Genomic DNA, 25404 nt, shown 5'->3' on the forward strand with positions numbered 1-25404 from the left:
GTGGTGCAACCCATCCCTTTCTCAAGACAACAGGCATTATTGCTTTTCCACTCCACCCACTTACACACCCCAAGTGAGATGTGGTGGATGAAACCCATCACATCAGAATTGTTCTAATGTAATAAAGAGCAGGAACTTTAGGAAAAAAAAGAGATCATCTGCCTGGAAGAGGTAGACCTTGAATTTCAACTTAAAGAAGAGAGGGACACAAACTTGAAGATAGGACGCTGTAGTTCTGTGGCCAGTTGTGATAGCCTAACAAAAGCTTGGAGGAGAGGAAGGAAAGACTTCAGAAAGAAAGGAAGGGCTCAAGACTGATGGCTCATGCCTGTAATCTCAACACTTCGGAAGGCCAAGGCAGGAGGATCACTTGAGGCCAGAAGTTTGAGATCAGTGTGGGCAGCATGGTAAGACCTTGTCACTATGAAAAAAATTTTTTTTTAATTAGCCGAGTGTGGTGGCACACGCCTGTGGCCCCAGCTACACAGAAGGCTGAGGTGGGAAGACCGCTTAAGCCCAGGAGGTTGAGGCTGCAGTGAGCCATGTGCATGCCACTGCACTCCAGCCTGGGCTGAGACCCAGTCTCAAAAAAAAAAAAAAAAAAAAAGCAACGAGGAACTTTTGGCTGGAATGGCAGGTATGAACTTGCACAAAGCAGAGGATGGGAAGAAAGGGGCAGTCACTCAGGATCCTTGAAGGCTATGGACATTGCCATAGCCATTAACATATTTAAGCTATTAATATTTCTGTAAAGAAATATCTTCTAACTGCAAGTTAAAAACAACCACCAAAAAAAAAAAATAACATTTCCATATACATTATGTACAACAGAGCCACCAATATAATACTTCTGCTATGGAAGCTAATGTGACCACAAGTGAGTCATGAAGTATTTTGCATTTATTTCAGGTCCAACAACGTGCCCAGTTGATGAATTTTGCCTAAATTGAATGTCTCTGGTACCACATTGTTATGGGGTGAATTGTATGCACCCAAGAAGACAGACTGGAGTCCTAACCCCCGGTACCTTGGAATGTGACCTTATTTGGAGACAGGGTTTTTACAGAGGAAATCAAGTTAAAATGAGGCCCTAATCTAGTATGACTGGTAGCCTTATTAAAATGAGAAGTTTGGACACAGACAGGCAGGCACACAGACAGGCAGGCACACAGACAGAATGTCATGTGAAGACGAGTTATGTTGCCACAAGTCAACTACTAGAAGCTAAGAGAGAAGCCTGGAATGGATCCTTCCCTGGCACCTTCAGAGGGAGCATGGCCCTGCTGACACCTTGAACTCAGAATGCTAGCCTCCAAAACTGAGAAAATTAGTTTCTGTGTTTAAGAAACACAGTTTGTAGAACTTTGTTATAGCAGCCCTAGCAAACTAATACTCAGGTGCTTCGGTAGTCTGCTTGGGCCAGGTTGTCCTGTTGACTAGTAAAACACACATTTTGCCATAAAATATTTTTAAAAGAAAAACATTAATATTTTGCTTCCATGATGCAATTACTATTTTACCATGGCCTTCTGTCTCACCACTTCAGAATTATGGATAAGTCTTAGGGATTCAAAACAAAAATAACCAATGTAGGGCTGGGCACAGTGGCTCATGCCTGTAATCCCAGCACTTTGGGAAGCCAAGATGGGCAGACCACCTGAGGTCAGGAGTTCGAGAGCAGCCTGGCCAACATGGCGAAACCCTGTCTCCACTAAAAATACAAAAATTAGCCGGGCGTGGTGGCACATGCTTGTAGTCTCAGCTACTCGGGAGGCTGAGGCAGGGAGGCGGAGGTTGCACCGAGCTGAGATCGCACCACTGCACTACAGCCTGGGGCGCAGAGGGAGACTCCATCTCCAAAAAAAAAAACCAAATTAATTAATTAAATAATAACCAATGTAGTAACGATTACACAGATATGTGAAGGATGCTTCCCCAAATAAAACCAAGCAAAAGAACTATCTAGTCAAGATTGAGCTCTTAATCCAAAACCTTTTAACCAAACCTATGAATCAGACCTACCTTCACTTGGTTTTATTTTGTACCTACCTATACTGATGGTGCTAATAAGTACTATCTGGTTTGGGTTTCATTTTCTTTCAAGTCCTTCTGTGCATCTTCTGGTAAAAGTGTCAACAAAGAAGGATCCTACACATCAGGGGTCTGCAAACTATGGTCTGCCGGTCAAACACTGCCTGCAGCTGGCTTTTGTATTTAAAGTTTTATTGAAACACAACCATGCCCATTTGTTTATATATTATCTATGGCTGCTTTCCAGTTACAAAGGCAGTGCTGAGTAATTGTGACAGAGACCTTATGGCCTACAAAGCTTAAAATATTTACTATCTGGCCCTTCACAAAAAAAAAAAAACCCTGATCCCAACTATAGATAGTGTATGAAATATATGAGCAGTTCCCACGTAAACCTTTATTGCTTGTTTCTCTCGATTGTCAATAATCCCAATTCCATTAGTACTATTTTCCAATCCTATTTCACACATTTCACTAGAGAACAATAAAAAGAGGAAGGGCATTCTAGCACTTTGGGAAGTCAAGGTGGGAGAACTGCTTAAGCTCAGAGTGGCTCAAGACCACTCTGGGCAACATAGTGAGATCTTATCTCTACAAAAAATTAAAAAATTAACTGCATGTGGTGGTGTGTGCCTGCGGTCCCAGCTATTTGGGTGGCTAAGGTGGGAGGATTGCTCCAGCTTGGGAGGTTGAGGCTGCAATAAGACATGATTGCACCACTGCACCACACTCCAGCCCGGGCAACAGAGCAAGACCCTGTCTCAAGAAAAAAAAAGAGAGAGAGAAAGGACCTCTTAGAATGTTAAATACTACCTTCTTTTTTGCTTAAATTTCTCTTAATGCTCGCCAGTTTTTCTGCACCCCTTTTAAAGAGATAAAACCAAACTCGGCAATGAATTGATGTCAAGAACATGGAAGATATATTTCCTTTTTTTCCCTATTCTAATTTAGTATCCTAATAAGCAGTTTCATAGAGTCAGTTAAAGGGTAGACTAACTCTAAGGTGACAATCAACACAAAACAGCCCATTGAGAACTCTGTTTCTATACAGGAAACAAATCAAATGCACCTGGAAGAAAAATGGTCAAAATTCAGGTAAACTGTAGCATGTCAGCTGCAAATCAGACATGTTCTTACTAGGCATTTCTTAAATATCTGAAGCTCTTATGGCACTAATTTCTAACTTATATAGTTATTTATACACTTGCTCCATACTCTCTCTTAGACTGTAAGGTTGACAACAGGATTACTAATTTGTTATTGCCCTCAGGGCCTAACACAGTTCTTGGCCCATAATGTACTCTAAAATATTGACTGAATGAATGATAATCCAAGCTGAATTTGGTTGAAAATGGCCAAGCTGGCCGGGCGCGGTGGCTCACACCTGTAATCCTAGCAACTTTGGGAGGCCGAGGCGGGCAGAGCACCGAGGTCGGGAGTTTGAGACCAGCCTGACCAACAAAGAGAAACTTCGTCTCCACTAAAAATACAAAATTAGCCGGGTGTGGTGGCACATGTCTGTAATCCCAGCTACTCGGGAGGCTGAGGCAGGAGACGCACTTGAATCTGGGAGGCGGAGGCTGTGATGAGCTGAGATCACGCCATTGCACTCCAGCCTGGACAACAAGAGAGACTCCATCTCCAAAAAAAAAAAAAGAAAAGAAAACAAGAAAAAGAAAAAAAAAGAAAATAGCCAAGCTTCACTGGCAGTCAGGATCTCTGGGTTCTAGTCCTGGTTTTGTTACAAATAAGCTATGCGATGTCCTCACCTCTAAAATAAGTACTGGGAAAAGCTCATCTCTGGGTCCTTTTGGCCTAGTATACTACACTTCTTTTGTAATAACACATTATATACTGAACATTCCTTCAGATCACTTCATCCGAAACACTAGTATCACATCGCAGAATTCATTCAGGATAAAATTTCATGTTGTAGACACCAGAAACAGTTGGTGAGGGAGACCGACAGACTTCCACCCACTTTTCGTTGGACTATGCAACTAAGAACCTTAATATAGATTTTTTTTTAGATGGTACAAGTGAACAATTTAGTCTAGATTACCTATTATAACAAAGGATGATCAAGTGGCCATTCAGAATTTTCAAGAACACACAGCAGTGTGTTCCTCACAGACGAGCCTTCTCCACAGTAGGGTTGTAAAGTCCTAACTGTGGTTTCTTCTATACAGGAACTTACACCTAGAAACCACAGAGTAAATTCTGCATGCTGTAATAAGTCAGGCAGGAAGGGACTGAAAGTATGCAAATTTTTCTACCCACAGCCAATTATATGAGAAAGACAAAACAAATTTAGAGGACAAAAGAATATTCATTATTAGAATGTGTGAGTTTTCCAGATCACTGACATTTTAAACTAGATTGATTTCTCAAGTCAGCTTTCTTGACTTTGTAAATGCTTTAAAAAGCAATAAAACAGGTGGAAAAACTGACCTTAACAGAGGAGAAATTAAAAGCAAAAAAAGAAATGAGAGTTGGCAGATACTAGTTTATTTTGCCTGAAGTTAACATGCAACTTACTATTGCTAAAGGCCTACTCTGTTCAGAGAATGACTTTTTAAACCTCACATAAAAGCAATTCTGAAGTTCTATCAATGATTTTTTAAAAAGATACACTCTTTAACATTCATTAGAAAAACATTAGTGCAAGTGTGTGCCATACTTAGAAAAACAAAGATTTTAAGGTAGGATGGTGAAGCACTAAGTAAAAGTCAGAAGATCCAGCTTTTCAAGCTGTGAGAATTTAAACAAATCACTCAATGTTTCTGGATTTTAATTATTTAGGAGTAAATTAAAGGGGTTGAACCCGATAATCTCTAATGTCCTTTCCAACACTAAAATGCAAAAGCTTCTTTTAAATAAGTGGTTCCCAAACTGTTCCAAGAACACAATTAGTAAATATTCTAAAACTAAATTATTCCATGATCAAGTAATTCTAGGAAAACAAATCATGAAGTCAGACAAATATCTCCACTGTAGGACTTCTTGAAGACTTTTTACTGCTAATTTACACTTTTACTCTCCTGGACAATACTACATAGTATGTAGTGTTTCCGAAGTTTCTTTGTAAAATGAGTATTTTAATTCCTTGAACACTTTCAACCTTTAATAGAATCCGTGTATCTTAGTAAGCACAATTAAGGAAAGCAGCTTTGAACAATAAACTTCTGAATTTAAAATCAGATGCTGAAGGCCGGGCGCAGTGGCTCACGCCTGTAATCCCAGCACTTTGGGAGGCCGAGGCGGGCAGATCACGCGGTCAGGAGATCGAGACCATCCTGGCTAACACGGTGAAACCCCGTCTCTACTAAAAATACAAAAAATTAGCCGGGCGTGGTGGCGGGCGCCTGCAGTCCTAGCTACTTGGGAGGCTGAGGCAGGAGAATGGCGTGAACCCGGGAGGCGGAGCTTGCAGTGAGCTGAGATCGCGCCACTGCACTCCAGCCTGGGTGACACAGCGAGACTCCGTCTCAAAAAAAAAAAAAAAAAAAAAAATCAGATGCTGAAAGAAGGAAAATGCTCACATAATAGTCGAGGGCATCTATTTCAGAAACTGTAATAACATCTCCATAGTGTTTACATATCATAAAGCACTTTATCTTACATTAACTCTTTTGACCCTTAACCCTGAGAAGCAAGGACAAATATAATAATCCTCACAAGTCTTTCTCATCACAAGGATTTTCGGCTAGTGAACAGAATGATCACAATTTTCTTCCACGATTATAACCGTAGGCTTTCCTTGACCCTTCCTCCAAAATCCTCTTTTGTATACAAACTGACCTGTTAGGAGACACCCCAAGGAAGGAGGGAAGCATCCAGAGTACCTGTGCCAGGTAATGTGCCACGTGCTGTCACCCAGATGATGTCATGTAATCATCTCAATAACACTGAGTAACTATTACCCCTGGTTTTGCTGCCAAGGAAATTAAGACCCAGAAAGTTTAAGAAATGTCCCTTCGAGTGATAAGAGCTGGGATCCACACCAATGTCCAACTTTTTTTCTTTAAAAGCAACCTGTGTTTTGAAATGGTTTGATAGTGAAATTTTTTTAAATGGACGTTGGCCATGTGGTTCAGTTGAAAAAAATTAACACTTTATTTTGGTTTGTGTTTCATGGTTTGTGGAATCTGTTTGAAATATGATTTGATTTACACAAATATTACAACAGTAGTTAGAGGGAGGTGTAATTTATACAAGAACTTCATCTTAATAATTACAACCACCTCAGTTCTTACTAGGTGCCAGACAGACCCATATGTACTATCTCATTTAATCCTCCAAACAACTCCACAAGGAAGGATCCCAGGACTATTCTACCTTCAAGGCTTTTACCTCAGAACTTCCTCTCTGAAGCAGCCTGTTTCACCTCTCTCTCCCAGGGACTTTTCTTTTTATCTTTTTTTTTTTTTTTTTTTTTTTTTTTTTGAGATGAAGGAAGTCTCACTCTGTTGCCTAGGCTGGAGTACAGTGGCACCATCTCAGCTCACTGCAACCTCCGCCTCCCGGGTTCAAGCAATTCTCCTGCCTCAGCCTCCTGAGTGGCTGGGATACAGGCAGGCGCCACCAAGCCCGGCTGATTTTTGTATTTTTAGTAGAGACGGGGTTTCACCATGTTGGTCAGGCTGGTCTCGAACTCCTGACCTCGTAATCCGCCCACCTCGGACTCCCAAAGTGCTGGGATTACAGGCGTGAGCCACCGCGCCCAGCCGTAGGGAATGTCTACCTGCGCATGCACGTGGCACTCTCTGACCGAGGTCCGGGGACTTTCCCCTAGGCGGAAGGATCTTATCAGAATCTCCATGCCCCACCCTATACCAAAAGCTCATTGTCTTTCTTGATTTCACGTTTCCTTAGCCTTTGGAACAGTGCTCTCAATTTTCAGAGCATACTCATCTTACCAATGTCAAACCCTATATAAACCCATTATCCAGATGCTTTCCCTTACTTATTGCTCGTGGAGGGTCAGGATACCATGCCAACTCGTACCTCTGAACTCCCATGGCTCCTTACTACTGCTTGAGTCATCCTTGCACTCATTTCTGTTTGAATGCTCACCAAATTCCCAAGAGCATTATTCCAAATCTTTTGTCATACTCCTTAAACTGAAAATCCCATCTTTTTTATTTTATAGAATCTGAACAGACAACCTCGCCTCCTTACTGAATCCTAAGCTTTCATAAAAAGGTGAGCTTCACTGGCCTTCCTGCCTTCTCTAGCATAACCCATTTTCTCCTTCCTGTAATCACTGTCAGGAAGACTTCTGAGGAGCCCTTTCCTGTAAGACTAATCCTGCCTCAACCTTTCATAAAAGTAAGCCCTATTTCCAAATATTCCCTCTTTTTTCTAGCACCTTGCTTTACCTACAAACACAGATGCTGAAATAATCTTGTCTCTAGGCTGTCACTTGAAATTTTCAGGAAAAAAACTCTCTTTGGCGTCTGACTTTCCTAAAGACACACCCTCTTCATTCATTCACTCTTTAAACCCTTTGGAATGTGCTTCCCTCACCCCTGCCTCCACCCTCCTTTCCCGCCCCACTACACACACAGGACTCCACTGAGACTTCTGTTTTAAAAGTTTACAAAGACCTCCCAATGGGTATTTCCAATGGCCCTTTACTAGGCTTTTGTCTTTCTTGACCTCTTGGCAACATTTAATGGAGCTGACCACCTCTTCTTAAAACTTTGTTCTCCTTGGCTTCTGTGACACTCTCCGGATTCTCTCAGTTTTGTGCCACTTCTTTCCTCCTACTTTGCCTAAGGCTCCCCCCTACTCCTGCCCAATATAGAATCTGTGCTCCCCGAAGTCTGTCCCATCTCTTGTCTTGACACATTCTCTCCTCGGAGTGCTTTAATCCATTCCCAATGCTCCACCTATTAAATCTGAGAAGTTTCTGTGCTTCTTCCCCAGAGCTCCGGTTCTCTAACTGCTTGCTAGAAATTTCTGCCTGGGATGGCAAGTGGGAAGAATAATGTGTAATTCATGTGGACAAGTTAAAATGGCCAAACCAAACTCACTGCCTTTCCCCCAGAAACTCTTATTTTGGTAGGCTGAATACTCTAAACCACTCACCACTATATCTGCCCATCTTCCATATTCCTTTGAGGTGGGAGATGTTTTAATATAACCAATGTACTTGTTAGACTATAGATATTAAAGGTGACTGTATAATTATGAATGACGTATATTACCAAGAATGAAATTTGCCATATAACAATGTGTTTGAGAAGATCCAGGACAAACACGAAAATCCATGCAGACATGTGAGGCAGCTTCTACTCTGACTTCAAGGTAATCTCAAGGGAGTGGTAAAGAAATGCTTACAACCATCTCCCCAACCAAAATAACTTCTTAAAGTGGTTTTCACTAGGGGTGTGTGATTAGCCATTTAGGCTGGACGATTCTTCCTTATGAGAAACTGAGCTGGACACTGCAGGATATTAAGTATCCCTGGTGTCTGGACACCAGTATCAGAATTCAACAATCCCTCTCCAATTTATTTTAATAGCAAAATAATAACAGTAATAATAATAATGATGATGATGATGTGGAAAATCCTTGTAATAGAAAGGCTGGGTTTTTCCTCATCACTGAGCCCCAGAGCAAAAAAGGTTGCAGTAACTTTTCATTTTCCCAATCATTTACGACTAGAAGCCTACGATGGTCTATTCCCGAGACCTTCCCCTCCCCATCCAGCCAGTCACCAGCCAAATCTTGTCAATTCTTTCTACACAATATCTTGAATCCATTCTATTTAATACATTCACACTGCCACATTTTACATCTTTATTTCAACTGAGACAATACCTTCTAAACTCAGGCTCTGCTCTCACCCATTTTAGCAAGCTTGCTCCTATTGACCTCTGTTCTTCAAACTCTACCCTGCAGTCAACCTAACCTGAACTACCCACTACTTCCCTGATAAAGCCCATGTTTTCTATCTTCAAATCTTTGCTGAATCAATGTTCTTTTTACCTGAAATGTCGCCTTCCATGATGCAACCAATTATCCTGTCTCCTGAGTTAGAAATTTTGTTCAAGTTCTTCTCCCTCTCCTTCCAAATGCAGTCACGAGAACTTTTGGAGGACACAGATCCCTCTGACAAATGGATGAAAGCTATGAATCTCTACCAAAGAAACAGCCAATGTATGCACATTTTGCATACAATTTTAAGGGCTTCCTGTATTTCAGTATCTATAAAATTTGGTCACTCCTCCTGCCTACAATTTAACTGACTTCTTTTGGGTCCTCACTAGCTCTCAGCAGTTTTAACAACTAGCTAGCTGGTTTCCCTGCCCAGTTTCTCCCCTAATGTGCACCAGTATTATCTCCTGCATGCCACCAGTTTACTTCGCAAAGATTCCTGTATGCTTTTTTTTTTTTTAAATCACTTACACCTACAACTCAATTAATTATAACTCAATGTTTCTGAGCCCCTCTTAAACTTTCAGTTTAAACAAAAGAACTATTCACTGTCTTAGAATTGGTCTGATACATTTAACATATAAAACTGAGAATACAAAATAGAGCCAAAGTACTTTCTAGAATATCTGAATTGGCAGGGTTGGGTTGATCACAAATGGTCTTCCAAAAAGGATTTATAGGCAGTTCTCCAAAGAGGAGAGAGACAAAGAGATTTTGTCTTAGAACAGAGAAAGAAAATGCTGGACGATAGGACCGATAACTAAGAAAAAAAGGGGGAGATTTAAGAATCTAAGACAATTCAAAACAATGAGGCTACATATTTGCTCCCAACCTACACAGCACCAAAACAATGAGACTGGAACCAATTTTGCAAAGTGATACATCAACTAGCAAAGTAAGAAACAAACAAGGTAAGAGTGCTTTCTTCTCTCTTAGCCCCTACTTCCCCTTCCCTCTCTTCAGCACTCCCTGCTCCTCCCCATCTTGCTCTGGAGCTTTGCAGCCTCTGCAGTGCACACCTAAAACTCCCCAGACACACTGAAAACTCCCCTGGGTTATACACTAACAGCTGCTTCTACAATGCTGACATTATCTGTACCTTGTACTTCTTACAGAAATCCTTACTCTTCCATTATACATTAAAGAAACCTCTAAAGAAGCCACACCTCCCACTGCACGGCCCTTTCAAAAAGGGAAAAGCTTGCACATGTATCTCGGAACTGGAAATTAAATTAAATTAAATTTAAAAAACGAAAGAAACAAAATGAAAAATACAAACATATATATGAGGAAAAAAAAAAAAGAAGCTAAGAGCCAAAAAGCAAGTTTGCAATGAAGACAATCATATGTATTCATAATAAAATAAACCCAAAGGATTCCAACATAGGTAGGACAGTCTTGGCTTGTCACATTTAATACAGAAATTAAATGTGGAGAAAATTTATCTGTCCACAAAACAGCTGTAAGTCAAATGAAAACAGGTGATTGTGATAATGCCTCTATATTTAGAATATTTAGAACAGCTACTCTCCTGAAAAGTAATCTAGAATATGAAATTTCATATATATAGCTACGTTTCCCCCTCACTAACTCATGTACATAAATTTGTGCCTTAAAAATGTTTCAAAAAGTACAGAAGGCATATTTAAAATATGTATAAAAAATAGGAAAATTTTAAGTTATTAAGTTAAAAAGTATCTGTCAGAAACAAGTGATTTCTAAAAAGGTAGGACAGGAGTTTGCAGGAAACAAAAATAATACATAAAGAATAGGAAAGGACCACCCCTCAAAACTCAGGCATTAGAAACAAGCAGTACCTTCATGCGTGATTGAAATTCTCAAAATGAATTCTTTGCAATTTCACCACAATTTTGAGACATTTAAAAAATACAATTTTCTAGGTTTCGTTTTGTTTTGTTTTTTCACTGTCTTTTTCTTGATAGCCAAAGGACTGCATGCTCATTGTGGGGGACAAGAGAGACTGGATGGTTGAAAAAAATGTAAAGGATCATAAAAAACAGTCATTTGTGATTCTATAGCAGAGGAAGCCATTTGTTAATATTTTGGCATATTTCCTTCCAGTTTTTAAAAATACATTTTTGAGATTGTATTGCATATACAATTGACAAACAAAAGATAATCTTCTCTAGTTTACATTACACTGTTATGAAATTCCATATGTTTAAATGAATAAAGTGGAGCCAACATAGATTTCTATGTATTAGGGTACTGTTCTGTGTAACACCAAGTTTCTTGCTGCTGCTGTCGTTATATTAAGTGTTAAGTCCCAACAGTTATATTGATTTTTTATTTTAGTCCAGGATTTCATTTGCTCCATTTAATTCTTTCACCTTATCCTAATTCCAGGAAATGCTTTCTTCCTTTCCTCACAGTGTGTTCTATACTATTTTAAAGTTTACACCAAGATTTTAGAATGTGTTAAGCAAAGCATTCTGTACAGATGCGAGTTTAAAAACAAACACCCACTAAACACCTACAGATGTCCAAGGACAAAAAAAATGTTTATTTTTCTGAGTAATGCAAAGACGATATCTTTGAAAATCAAATACACAAACAAGACAAAGGAAAGAATTCAGGAAATAATTGTGCATATACTAATAATCAAACCTGTTTTCCAGCAAATTAAAAAGTAGCATTTTTCACTGATAAGAATGATCAATGCTCTTTTTACCTTCCTAATATATTTGCATGAAATAAAGAAGAAAGGATTGAAAGTCTTCCCCAGAGAGGAAGCAAATTCTGCTATCGAGGGCATAAACCATGACCAACTGTTTAAAAATATGGTGGGATCCACTTTTCTACTTCTTGGTACTTTCTTTTTTTAAAAAAATGTGGTTGAGAATTTCATTTTCAACCTCAGGTCCTTACCCTTTTTCAGGCTGCCCCTCATTCTAAACACAGTCCATTCTTAGAGGCTGTAAACACGGTCCATTCTTAGGCGACTGTGTCAAGGTCTCCCTAGACCACACAGAAGTCTCCTAGGACCACCCGCTGTTGCTTGCTCTGTGGGGACATTAATAATAGCACCTTAGAAGGATTAACAACTACCCTGTGAAGTGGGCACTATTATCTTTACTTAGCAGAAACTCAGACTTAGGGAGGTTAAGTGAAAAAGCATGCAAATGGTAGAGCCACAACTTAAGCCATAGTCTTTCAATTAGGTAGAGTGCAGGCGGAAGCATGGACCAAATGGTTCAAGGAGGTAAAATGTGAAACGTGCGTTATCAGGGCCTAAGGAATATGCTAAGGGGCAAACTTTTCAGTGGAAAAAGTAATAGTATGTCTTATTATCATGATTTTTTTTATAATGAGTTTTAAAAAGCGAATTGGATTTCCCTGAGAGAGGGCTGCTAGATTTAGCAAATTCAAAAATGCAGTGTGATGAAAATCTGGGACATACTTATACTAAAAAATTATTCACTGTTTATCTGAAATTCAAATTTAACTCAGTGTCTAGTATGTCATCTGTGAAAGCCTTTATAAAACAAACAAAAAAACACTAATACATTCAAGAGCTACAATTCCCACATCTGAAATCTGGACACTGTGGGCCACATGTCTTTGGGAGGCCAAGTAAAGGGAAGTGTAGTGAGGCCACAGCTGTTCTTGACGGGCTTTCTTTTTCCTAGTAGCAGACACAGCCCTTGACTCCAGGGACCTAGCTTTCACCATGTAGGCCACTTAAGATGTCACTGCCTCAAAACTCCAGACCTTCTCTATATGGATGCTATGAAGATTAAATATGACTGAGGTTTATACATCCTTAAAATATTTATTTATTGGGTGAGTACTTTATAAATATATTCTCAGAAACCTGGATCAGATAGACTCTTACCCTCCTAAGAAAGGTCTCAAAAATAAAAGTACTAATATATGGTGAGCCCAGTTGACAGTAATCTCTAAAAATAAGGAAAAGTAAAAAACTAGAAGTATGTTCAAAACCTGAAGTGAACTATGGAACATGTAATGAGATGCCAAAACGGTCCCTAGTAGAAAAAGTGGACAATCACGATGAATTGTACAGTTTTCAAATGGCTATGTATGGGTAGATTTTAAAATATCATCATCATGACTCATAGATCCTACCTGACCACAAATACACAGAGATAACATAACATAAAAATGGGCCAATACCTTACTTATACATACCAATTTACCTTTCTGCTACTCTCCACTAAACCTCCAATCTCTGTAGCTTGAAGACGTTTACTTTCTTTAAAACAACAACAAATTGGGACTGTTTCAGGCAGTGTTCATTTAAATATCTTCTATGCACAAGTTTAATCTTCAAACTTTAACAAAACCCAATCTACTAAACACAAATTGCTGTGAACAGAAACTGCCTGAAGAGGATTAATCAACAGCTTTGTATGTCATCCTCTAAACAAGGCCAAACACTGAATCACTGTTGAATTCCTCACGTGCAGCTACACCCAGTTAATCTTGAAGAAGGCAGTAAACTATGTAAATCTACTTAAACTGGGAAGATAAGTACTTCCCTCATCAAAAGTTAGCAACATTTAACAAGTACAACTATTGGAGGGCAAGACCATTAAACACACACAGATATAAACACACACATACACACATGCAGAAAAATTTTGCATTCACTCCCCTACCTCCAAAACCCTACTGGAAACCACTAGGACAACATACTGCTTAGCAAAAAAGGCCTTCCTACATGCCACGATGTGCAGAAACCAAAGTATGGTTGGTTTGTAACTTAGCTACCTCAAGAAAGCAGTTCCAAAATGGAAGGAAACAGGAAGAGGAGTAGCTAATAAAAGAATTCAAGAAACAACACAAAGGAAAAATGAAAATACCAATTTTCTATATCTAAAAGCCTTTGAGTATAAATCACTTTTTTTGTTTCAAAACACACTAAAATATTTTCATAGCTACAAAAGTCCTGATAAATGGTTTCATTTTGGTTTTTGGGGTGCTCTTTTCATACGATCAGATTGGATTTGCTTAATGAACACCATATACTTCAAAGTCACAGTCAACAGTAATAGAACGTACACATTTGTCCACTGAGACTTGAACCAATCATCTTTATTTAGATACTGCCTACTCGGTTATCACTCCATTCAAAAGCTTCTCACTTTGACTTGAGCTGAGCAGGTGTATTTCTAATGTGCTCACAGGCCTGTGAGGCAGGAAAATCCTGTTGATCCCAGATGATGCCAGAGATCAGTACTCCCTGATGCCCTAGCTACACTACGTGGGGGCAGGTGAGAGATGAGTACCAACCACCGCTGCTTTAACTGAAACTAGCTCACTCCTACACAGTCGACCCTCCGTATAAAGAGGTTCTGCATCCGCCTACTGTGGATTAAAAATATTTCAGGGAAAAGCAATAAAAATAGCAATAAAACAATTTGAAAATAATACAGTATAACAATTATTTACATAGCATCTACATAGTATCAGGTATTATAAGTAATCTAGAGATTAAAGAATACGAGAAGATGTACATAGGTTATATACAAATACTACGCAATTTTATATCAGGACCTTGAGCCATCCTGGAACCAATCTTCCTCGGATGCTGAGAGATGACTGTATATGTAAAATGTAGAAAGCTTTAAGAGTTGTACAATCATTCAGTACAGCCACATTTTTATATCAATGCTGCTTCCAAACATCACAAACTTACCATCTGTATCATCCATTTGCTTCATCATTCACCTCCTAGCTCACAAGTTCTCCCTCCCCAAAAAGGTGGGAGGAATCCCTAAACTGGACTTCTGAGATTAGAAGGGTGATGGGCTATGATGCAGATAAGTTCTCTATGGGTTGCTATTGAGCAGTACATGTAGGCAGGCAGCCGTAGTGTGGTGGCTTGGAAGGGAGTGATTGTCAGGGTTCAAATCCTGGCTCTGCACTTTGAGTTGAATAGACTTTGGGCAATTTGCTTAATCTATGCCTCAGTGTTCTTAATTGTAAAATGGATATACAAATATTGCCTGCCTCACAGGGCTTTTAAGATGACTAAATGAGTTAATCTGCCAAAAACATTCAGAACAGCAATCAGCAGGTAGTGAAGTACTCAATGAAAGTTAGCTACTACTACTATGTATGTATAATGCAAGTGTGATTCCAAACCATTACGGTGTTTTTTCCAAAGGTGACTGTAAAGTATTCCTTACATTCCATTTTTTTTTTTTCTGGCAAATTAGCTGAGATCAGCTCTAACAGCTGATTATGTATTTCTAGACTAAAATCAAACTGCATCATATACCTAAAATCTGCCAATTCTTTCATCAAAATGAACAAACTAATATGAACTGCAAGGTTGAAGCTTAACATCACAAAATCTTATAAAAAGCATTAATTAGACTTCCCATTTAGGCTAAGCCAGGATGAGATCACAAAGTCACTCATGGTAACCAGGTCCCCGCGCTGGAAGTGTGCTTTCCCAGTGAATGGCTAAATACTAACAAAAGAAACCTTTGACTCAAATACCACTGGTACCCGGGGTCTTGTGTCTGTATAATGCCTACACATTCATTTCTTTCTTTGCCTATAGAAAAAAGAAAGTCTGTTTGTTTTTCTGATTCAGTCAGCCCTTTTAGTCTTTGAATCTAAGGAGAGCCCTGTGAAAAGAAGAGCATCTTATCAGCGTGCTCCAGACCAGCAGGCTACCCCCCTTCACACACAAAACCTCCAGCCCCTCACAGCCAAAGGCCTCGCCCTCAGAGCCTTTTCCCCATTTCAGAGCTAACACCCCGCCGGGTTTTGACAACAAATAAATGAATACACAAGGCCCTAACATAATTAGCCATCTTTTCAGGTAGAGTGAGGTGGGTGGGGGAGGAGGGGTTGCAAGGGGAATGTTTATTGTAAATTGGCTGCATTTATGAAGTTGATGTAAGTGTACTGGATCCGAGAGCATTTCTTTTAAATGAAGCCACATGAAATGACTTCGAGATGCCTGCTTCTGAATCTTGACTATCTTAGCATATCCTTCAGCCGAGTCATAAATGCAGATTTTATTTATTTAATTAATTAAAGGAAAGAACTTCTTAACCCAGGTAAAAGTTCCATGGACTTCCACATCAAGGGCACACAGACCACGGTGTGTGTTTACTGCCTCTTTAAAGAAAAGTTAACATAGAAAAGAACCAAAGACCAGAAGGCAGAAAACATTTCTTTTCGACACTGCCAAAATACTTGCAAATACACTTACGCTAGGACATACACACAAAAAAGAATGACTCTGACGACAACAAGACCTAAACATAATCAATAATCCTGTAAATACCTAAAGGGAAGCCACCAAGCATCACTGCCATCGGTCGTGATCTTAAGAGAGCCACGGTCTGCATGGAAGGCTACAGTTCGCTTGCATCCTTTTTGGGATAATAACTTAATTGATTTGTCTCAGTGGCTAAGGATGCAGACAAGAGATTTATTATGGAGGAAAAATATCTGCAATCCTGTTTTTGTTTTCTCAACAAGCATCTTGCCACTGACCTCTAAATCAATTTAACCTTTTCTAAACAGACTTGCACATTTTTTAGATAATTTAAAGCTACGTTTTGTTATTGCTGCTGCTGAAAGGCTCTGTGAGATGTATCACAACATGGCTTCAGTAACCTTCTTTTAAAAACAAAGATGAAAAACAAAAGGCCTCAACTATAAGCTCCCAGCTCCATTCCTTTTCCCAGCAGGGGATTGTGATCTAACCACTGAAGTGGCTTTCGAGTTCAATCTGTTAAAAAATGTATGAAACGGTATTAAAATAGGAAAGAGCATGTGTATGACTCAGGCATATCCAAGTATCTTCTGCAACTAGGATGTCACAGGATTTCCCTGTGCTACTGAAAACCTTGAGAAAGTGACAGTAGAAGTTCCTGTTTCTTTCTCTTTTTTTTTCTTTAAATGAGGGGGGCGCGCGCGAACACACAGACACACACAGAGACACAGACACACACACACAGACACACGTCTTCCGGGTTTCCTACGAATCAGACAGGTTCTCTGAGGTTCCTAGCGAAGACTGCACACCAGCGTGACGACTTATTACCGCACTCCGCTACACACAAAGGTTTTGGGAAAAACCCAAACTTGTTGCAGAGCTGGGTGAAGCCCCCGGCCCGGCGCGCTTCTGCCCTCGCCGGCTCTCCGCTCCTGCCCCTGCCCCTTCCTCCACTTCCCACCCTGCCCGGCCCGGGCGGCGGCGGCGAGGGCATCTCCCCTGCTCAGGTCGCCGGCCGAGCAGTCCCCGCGGCCGCCTTCCTGGGAAACAAGGTCACCGCCCAGCCGGTCCCTCCGAGGAGGCGCGGAGCCCCTGAGCGCGGCCCCCTTTGTAACGCGGGGCTCGCCGACCTCGGCGCGGCATCCCGGCCGCCGCCTCACCTGCTTGCGATAGGGCGTCCGGCAGTTGCTGCTGCCCCCGGGGTTGCCACTGCTGCTGGGGAAGATCATCGCTGCGGGCGGCGGCGGCGGGTGCGGGCGCGGGCGCGGGCGCGGGGCAGCCTCGCCGCGAGGGGGAGGGCGCAAGGAGGTGGCCGGCCGGGCCCGGGGCCGCGGCAGCTCTGGGAACTCCCTCTCGCCGCGCGGCGGCGGCCGGCGGGGGCTGCAGCTCCGCGCTGACTTCCCCTCCGCCTTCGACCTCCGCACTCGCCTAAAAGTACGGCGCGGCAGCGGGCGAGACTCGAGCAGCTCGGGCAGCCGCCGCCCTGCGTGCCATGGACGGGAGTTCGCGCGCGGAGCTGGCGGCGTCGCCGACTCTCCCGGCGGCAGCGGAGGAGCAGCGCCGCCGCGTCCCCACCTACCGCGGCCTCAACCACCGCCCTGAGAGCGCGCCGGCCGGGGGCGGGGAGGCGGCAGCGCACCGCCTCGCGCCGCGCCCAGGCCCACCCGCGCCTCCCCGCCCGCCCGCTGGGCGCGGCGCCTGCCGCCCCATCGCCCGCCCGGCCCCCGCGCTCTCCCTCCCGGGATCGGGGCCGGAGCCGGGGCCGGGCGGCCCGGGGAGCAGCCGGCGCCCCCGCTCTGGTGCAATGGTTGGGTCTGGCTCCCCGCATGCCGCACATTCCTCGGAGTAGCCAACCCCCCTCCTCTGTTCTTTTTCCCCCTCGGTTCTTTCCTAAGCACCAGCGGCAGCTTTGCACCCCGGCTCGAAGCCCCTTTTAAGGTCGTCGCTTCGGGGACCACTCTGGCACCTCGGTCTTCCCTCTCTTCTTCACCTTTCGAACTAGGCCCCCCGCGCCACTCTTCAAGAAAAGGTGTGGACAATCACCCCTACTTCAACGAACACACGACCCTCCCGTCAAACCTCTGCAAATCTCCATCCCCCGATTCACACGCTAAAATTTTAGCAGAGGAAACAGCTCTCCACTCCCCAGCCCCTCACCCAAATACGATCGGTAAAGTTTTGTTTTATCCCTAAGCCAGAGTTTACCAGCTTTCCTTCAAGATGATAATATCAAGGAGCGAAAATCATTTAAGGCCACCGGTTTGGTAAACCTTTCTCCCTAAAACCTGGAACAGTGTAATCCTTCCTTATGTTAATTATTAGATGCGACACAAATGTGTTTTCTTAGGACACAGAAACTCGGCAAAAAAGAGACAAAGGGAGGAGGGACTTCCCTTTGTTTCCCGATGTAAATGACCTACGGCTGCTCAAGCCGTCCCTTTTCTCGACCACCTTTCCGTGGACGTATGAAGCCCCGAACCTGTGCAGTGCAGAAGGCCTCCACAGCAGCCCGGACTGACAGAGCCTGCGGTCTCTGGATAAGCCACTGGGACGGGCTTGCCATCCTTCACATTGGCCTGTTCCACGGTGACTTTTACAGAATACTATCGCTGCAGTAAATACTACAGAGTTCTTCCTTGGTTTCTGGTCTCTTAATACCTTCCTGGAAAGGCTCATCTGCCATGATAATGAAAAATCCTAACTTGTCTAAAAAGTGAAGGCGTATGCCTTCTGGCTTCCCTAAGGAAAACAGTGTCCCCTATGGAAATGAAGTCTTCTGGCAAAGCTGTGGCCATTCAAAGGCTTTTCTAGCAGCAAGGAACTGGAAAAAATATTCATCCTAGATATCCTGCTGGTGACTTAGTGAACCTCTTCCATACTCAGGCTCTTCCAACATTCTCCAGCCAGATAACTGGAAAGCCTCACCTATTATAAATAACCGTATAAAACACACATGTAATTCCTGATTCTTTTCATTAAAAAAAAAAAAAAGCAAAGTAACTTATTCTGGGCACAGTGCTAGGTGCACAATGGACGAGTAAGAACTTGCCAGACAAAATTTACGTAAAAATCTGTCCTTTAAAGTGATTAAGTATCAAACACAGTATAATGAGCATTCATTGAAAATTGGTGTATCTGGTGGAACTATTTTCTGCTACTCCATGCATAAGACAACTGTTTTGACTTCCCTTTTGCTGTCTCCTCTCACTAGGACCCTTTACTGCAAGTTATCAAGCACAAGTATAAAATAGAAAACATTCATCAGAATGTTCAAGTCATAGGTGCCTTTCTCTGAGAACTTACTGCTCAACACCCCAGCAGCTCAGACCTGTCGTCTGTGCATCTATGGAAAAAATTCCCTGTACAACCTCAGTTGTCAAGAGTGGTCTCTTAGGAAACCACAATGTAAACCACAAAAGAAGAGAATAGATTAATTTTTCTATGGCTGTACTCTAAGGTCATGATATTTTGGATGCTGTGCAATCCAGAATGCTAAAATTTGATTGGATACACTCTGCAATAGTTTTATGGGGATAAGAAAAGTTTTTAAGTGATGATGAAATTTAAATTAGAAAACTAAAAGAATTCTAATACTAAATACTAAGATATACTAAGAATACTAAAAGAATGTTAAAAAGACTCTGGCCGGGCACGGTGGCTCACGCCTGTAATCCCAGCACTTTGGTAGGCTGAGGCGGGCGGATCACGAGGTCTCGAGACCATCCAGGCTAACACGGTGAAACCCCGTCTCTACTAAAAATACAAAAAATTAGCCGGGCATAGTGGCGGGCGCCTGTAGTCCCAGCTACTCAGGAGGCTGAGGCAGGAGAATGGCGTGAACCCAGGAGGCGGAGCTTGCAGTGAGCCGAGATCACGCCGCTGCACCCCAGTCTGGGTGACAGAGTGAGACCCCGTCTCAAAAAAAAAAAAAAAAAAAAAAAAAATTAAAAGACTCTAAGACTAGAGAAGGATATCTAAAAGCCAACAAAATGTATGTTCTATAATGGTGAATGACATAAAAGGAGAGAATATAAGGCATATATGTTTTAAAAAAACAATGTCCACCGGGGTTCAAAAGTTCCAAACTTAACTAGGTACTGTGTTCTTAAGTAAAGCATTACAAAGAGATAAGATAGATTGTCTACCCTCAACAAAATCTAAAATGTAATGAAGTCACTCAAACACAAAGAATGCAACGTAAGAAAAAAAAACATAACTATGAGACCCTGTATATAACATACACACTCAATTATAGATTATTCATAAGTGCTTAGTTGTAAGAGTGATTACAGGGACAGATCCTGGTGAGGTTCATCTGAAAAAGTTCCTCGACCTTTGAAACAAATATGTTCTAACACATAGAAAGTAAGAAAACAGTCCAGAGAGACTGCAAGTTATCATGGTAAAAACGGGGCTTTGGAAGAACCTGTCCTAGAGATGCTCATCCTCTTTTTTTTTTGAGACGAAGTCTCGCTCTGTTACCAGGCTGCAGTGCAGTGGCGCGATCTCAGCTCACTGCAACCTCTGCCTCTCGGGTTCCAGCGATTCTTCTGCCTCAGCCTCCCGAGTAGCTGGGACTACAGGCGTGTGCCACCACGCCTGTCTAATTTTTGTATTTTTAGTAGAGATGATGTTTCACCATGTTGGCCAGGATGGTCTCGATCTCTTGACCTCGTGATCCGCCCATCTCGGCCTCCCAAAGTTCTGGGATTACAGGCCTGAGCCACCGCACCTCACCAATGCTCATCCTCTTTCAAGGGAAACAGACTTTGCTGCCTGGGCTGTCCTATGTCTTCCTCCCTCACCTCACTCAGCTGGTAGGTAAAGAAGCTGTGGGAATCTGATCCAAGGGCAACTGACAGGCCAGTGACCTATGACCTGGCTGGGACTGAAAAAATGAGCAGGACCAATCCAATTCTCACCCTTGGGGATTTGATTCTGAAAACTTCAATGGCTGAACCAGTTACTAAGGGGCCAGCAACTATAAGAGTGCCAGGGGTAGAGTTGAGGCCACAACAAGCCAAAACCATATGCAAGCCAAGGTTATGAGGAAGCAGAAACTATGAGTAAACAGGAAGCTTACTGGCAGCGGGCAGAGAGTAGAGCATGCCAGGAGTGGGTGAGCATTTGGCCATGAAATGATGGAGGGGGCTGCAGTCCCTAGAGCTGCTTTGGCTCTTAAGACTTACAACAGCCCCTCCACATGTGTACTTAAAACACCCTTCTTCAGAAAGCTTAAAGGAATCTGGACTTTGCAATCCAAGGAACAGAATTAAAGCAGAACCAAGCAGATCTGGGTCCATATTTCAGCTTCCCACTTGTGCTCTGGGCAAGTTTGCTAACCTCTCTTGAGTGCCAGACTCCTCACAAAATTGTCTTAAGTACAGTACATGGACAAAAGTGTCAAACTCAGTAAATGGCAGTTGTTGTTATTTTTTTCCAGGTTTTATCATGGTGATGCCTAGATTTAAATGGTTGCACTGTGCAAATAACTGATGCTGAACATCAAAGAACAGGAGCAAGGGTACAGCAGGAATTAAGCACAAGCAAATTTAGGCAAGGGGAGGGCATTTTTGTAAAAAACTGTTAAATGGCTGAATGAATATTCTTTCTAAGGTTGTGTATACTGCAGATTTAACTTTAAAAGGAAAACGAAAGTCTAAAAAAAGGTCTGTTTCAAGAGCCTAGGTGCACTGAAGTTTTTCTTCATCTGTTTTTGTCCAGTTTCCTTTAAAGAAGTTAGGTGTTGGAGAAGAGCCATTTTTGAATGAATTGGAAGACTGTGAGCAGTATCAGAGATCACTCTCATAAGCCAGGAGGTGTATACCAACTAGAATAATAAGGATGCAGCCACCAGTACATGCAGAAGCCTGCAATCTAAAATAGGAGATGACACACATAGGTAATAATGCCTTCTGCCACTTAAAAGAGCTCATATACCTGAAATTAGAGAATTGAATTTGAAAGACATTTGTCCCAAAGCAACAATTTTAAAATGAAAGTTTCATTTTTAAACCTTTCACGTCTCATTTAACTTTCACAACAACCTTTGAGGTTGGAAGGGTTATAAGCCTCAATGTACAGATGAAAGAAAAAAAGTTAAGGCTGGGTGACCTATCCACAAAGCTAGTAAGCAAGTAGCAAACTAGGATTAAAATCTAGACCTGGCTAGGGTTAAAAGATTTACTAAGTCTTATGCTCTCTAAAACTCTGTAACGCCGCATCTCAAAAAAAGCCTTATAGATGATGATGCTTCAATTCCTAGGTGAGTACTTGTAAACCATAGAGCGCCCAAATTGCTTGCTGTACACTAATAATGCAAGACATTAAGTGATAAGTGCCAGGCAAGTGTTCTAGACAATCGTGTGCTATGGGAGTCCACAGCAGGGAGAGATCAATATTGGATATAACATGGGCGTGGGAAGCTCAACTGTATAAATGTTTTGTTAGAAGGATACTCAGAAAGAAGCATTGTGCAGATGATCAGAAAAACAGAACTACAGATAGAAGGCTAGCATGAGGGACAATGCAGACTTGGGGTAATCACTGCTGAAATCATTGCTAATTGATGAACTTCCTAAAAGGGGAAGGTGAGGCGTCCTAGAGGACCCAACACCCTAATACACATATTACCGAGCCCCACATAAAAGAGTAAGCTTTGAATGAAATTACTACAAAGAAAGTATGGTGGCGAAGCTAAGCTTTGAAAGAAGGAAAAAAAATGGGGGCAGAGAAGATGTCCAAGAGATAAGAATAGAACACCTCTATCAAGAAAAGAACTGACCTACAGCAGGTTCTATCCCTCTATTGCTGTTGAACCATTTCAGGCACCCATTTTTATTTGGGTGAAATTGAAAGGTGAAAGGAATTAAGAGGAAAAATTCATTCAACACTATATCAGACTGCAACCTTTAATGCATAAAATATAGCCACACTGTATAGGTTAGTATATGCAGTTCACACCAAAAAAAACCTATTTACTTTTGAGAGTCTATGTATAAGAGCTCACAAAGCCTCTGGCTCCCAGCAAAACAGGAGAAAAAAAAAGAAGAAAAAATAGGGGGTCAGCAGATTCTTTCTGTTCTTTCCTCGTACAAAATAGAGTTGATAAAGTACCCTATTTCTAAAGTAGCAGCAACATTTTCTATTATTTACTATTTTGCTTTTTAAAAAATCTGCAATTCTTATTCCAAACGTAAAGGCTCCCTAGACATGTATAAAAGTACATGCGTATAAAACTGAAACCACTGTAATAAAATAAAACTATAGCTATAATCCTAGAAGGTATAGAGAACAATACAAACACAGCCATATTCTGATGAGTCCTACCAGAAGCCATAGTCTGATTATTCTGTCCTGGTTAACAAAACAGAATAAATGAGTTTTGTCCCACTGCTGCTTCTCTGCATGTAGTATTAAATAATAATAGCTGTCATTTATTGAGTAACTAACTATATTCCAGGCACTTTCTAAGCACATTACACACACATACCCCAGGACAGAAGAATGACTATCCCATTTTACCAAAGAGAAAACTGAGTAACTTGCCCAAGGTCACAAATCCAATACATAGTAGAGTTGGGGTTTGATCTTGGGTCTCTTTGACTCCAAAGTCCCCTGTCTCCAATAATATTAATAATGGTTATTACTACTATTAGCTATGGATCAAGTCCAAGCCCCATAGAGAAAAACTTACATGGTATTAAGAGCCAAAGCTTGGGCATCAGAACACCTGACCCTGAATCCTGGCTTCACCATTTACCATCTGTGTCACATTGGGCAAGGCACTTATCCCTTCTAGAAGCCCCCATTTGCTCAGTTGTAAAAGCATGTGGATTTACATTGAATTTCCATTCCACTGAATATAAATGCAAACTTTCCAATATTCGAATATATCGTGAATAGTACAGGTATATATATTCAGCCCCAACCTAGCATCTAAATCTCACTTCACTGATGGTTGCTAAGGTATAACTTCTCTCTTTAAACCAGTTTTTTTGTTTTTTTGTTTTTTTTTCTGGAATCATTGGTGGGACAGAGTTAGGAGAGAAGCAGAAAAATTTATCTTCTGGGATATTGTAGGATGGCTGAGATGGTGGTTAGGTGAAAGTTATTTCCAGAATCCTGAACTGGAACCAAGTTTTATTTTCCCTCAAAAAAGGGTGAGAGACCATATTAGATATTAGCTAAGTTATGAGATTCATAGATGCTTATTTTAGGTCAACTAAAATCCTAATCACCATTTACAACATCTCTCTATGAAGAAACATCCTCCAAATTTGAAACAAATAACTTATAAACATTTTGTGATCTAATCTGTTCATAAATTAGTTATTGCTCTGCTCTGGCATAATAGTTAATAAAAATTCAAAGCTGACAGCAATTTTTGGCATAAGGGTTATCTATAAGTTTCTGTCCCTAAGTTTTTCTATTAAAAAAATCGTTGAGTTAGCTAGCCCAACTAACCTGGGAGGCTGAGGCTGCAGTGAGCCGAGATTGCACCACTGCACTCCAGCCTGGGCAACAGAGCAAGACCCTGTCTCAAAAAAAAAAAAAAAATCTATAAAAACAGGTACATGGAGTCATATCCTTTTCAAAAATACAACATCTGAATAAAATGCCATTTAAATTAAAATTCAAGATTTTGCTTTGGCTTAAACAACAGTGAATTTGTAGCTATAGATCAAATTCCACAGCAAAATAAGTAAACTATTTGGGATACCAAGACAAAGAGAAGGTCCATTTTTCATATATTGTGAATTGCTGTTTTCCTAAATTGACTGGACGATGTCTCAATCTTCTATACTCTGATTGTGCAAATCTAGTATGGAGCTGTTATTCTCCATGCCTATTGTAAGCCTATAAAAATGTAAGTGCTTATTTTCAGAATATTTCAAGTTAATTCAATGAATTTTCCATGAATTATAGTAAAACTCATAAATTGTGATGGAAAGATATTACTAGGTAATCTCTGAAATTACAGTAGTAGAGCTGGAGTTTGATCTTGGGTCTCTCTGACTCCAAAGAGATGGAAGTAACATAATTACCTATGTATGTGAGCAAACTGTGGGTAAAAGACAAGAGCTGAGGTGAGGAAGGAAGGAATGGGTGTGCTGGGAAAATTTCTGATCACATCCACTCTTGCTACTAGGACCTGGGAAGAGACAGAAAGTACTTAGGAAATTTAAAAAAAAAATTGTGGA

The 25404-nt window shown here is 41.3% G+C and overlaps 1 protein-coding gene and 1 non-coding gene across 4 annotated transcripts in view, besides 2 other annotated features; both read right to left on the bottom strand.

Moving 5' to 3' along the window:
- The window catches only part of RBMS1 (RNA binding motif single stranded interacting protein 1), a 221657-nt gene that overhangs the window by 117952 nt on the left and 78301 nt on the right, over positions 1 to 25404 (bottom strand). The window lies entirely within an intron of this gene.
- Positions 17128 to 17217: a silencer, noted in NCBI's record as "silent region_12048". NCBI's record gives its function as "represses an Ori minimal core promoter by ATAC-STARR-seq in GM12878 lymphoblastoid cells {active_cell/tissue: GM12878}" and the evidence as "EXISTENCE:reporter gene assay evidence [ECO:0000049][PMID:35858748]".
- Positions 17468 to 17617: a silencer, noted in NCBI's record as "silent region_12049". NCBI's record gives its function as "represses an Ori minimal core promoter by ATAC-STARR-seq in GM12878 lymphoblastoid cells {active_cell/tissue: GM12878}" and the evidence as "EXISTENCE:reporter gene assay evidence [ECO:0000049][PMID:35858748]".
- On the bottom strand, positions 17708 to 17780 carry MIR4785 (microRNA 4785). The gene has a single exon (NR_039946.1). It is a non-coding gene; the product is annotated as a microRNA 4785 (primary transcript).

The sequence above is a fragment of the Homo sapiens genome, chromosome 2, assembly GCF_000001405.40.
Source record: "Homo sapiens chromosome 2, GRCh38.p14 Primary Assembly".
Lineage (NCBI taxonomy): Eukaryota > Metazoa > Chordata > Mammalia > Primates > Hominidae > Homo > Homo sapiens.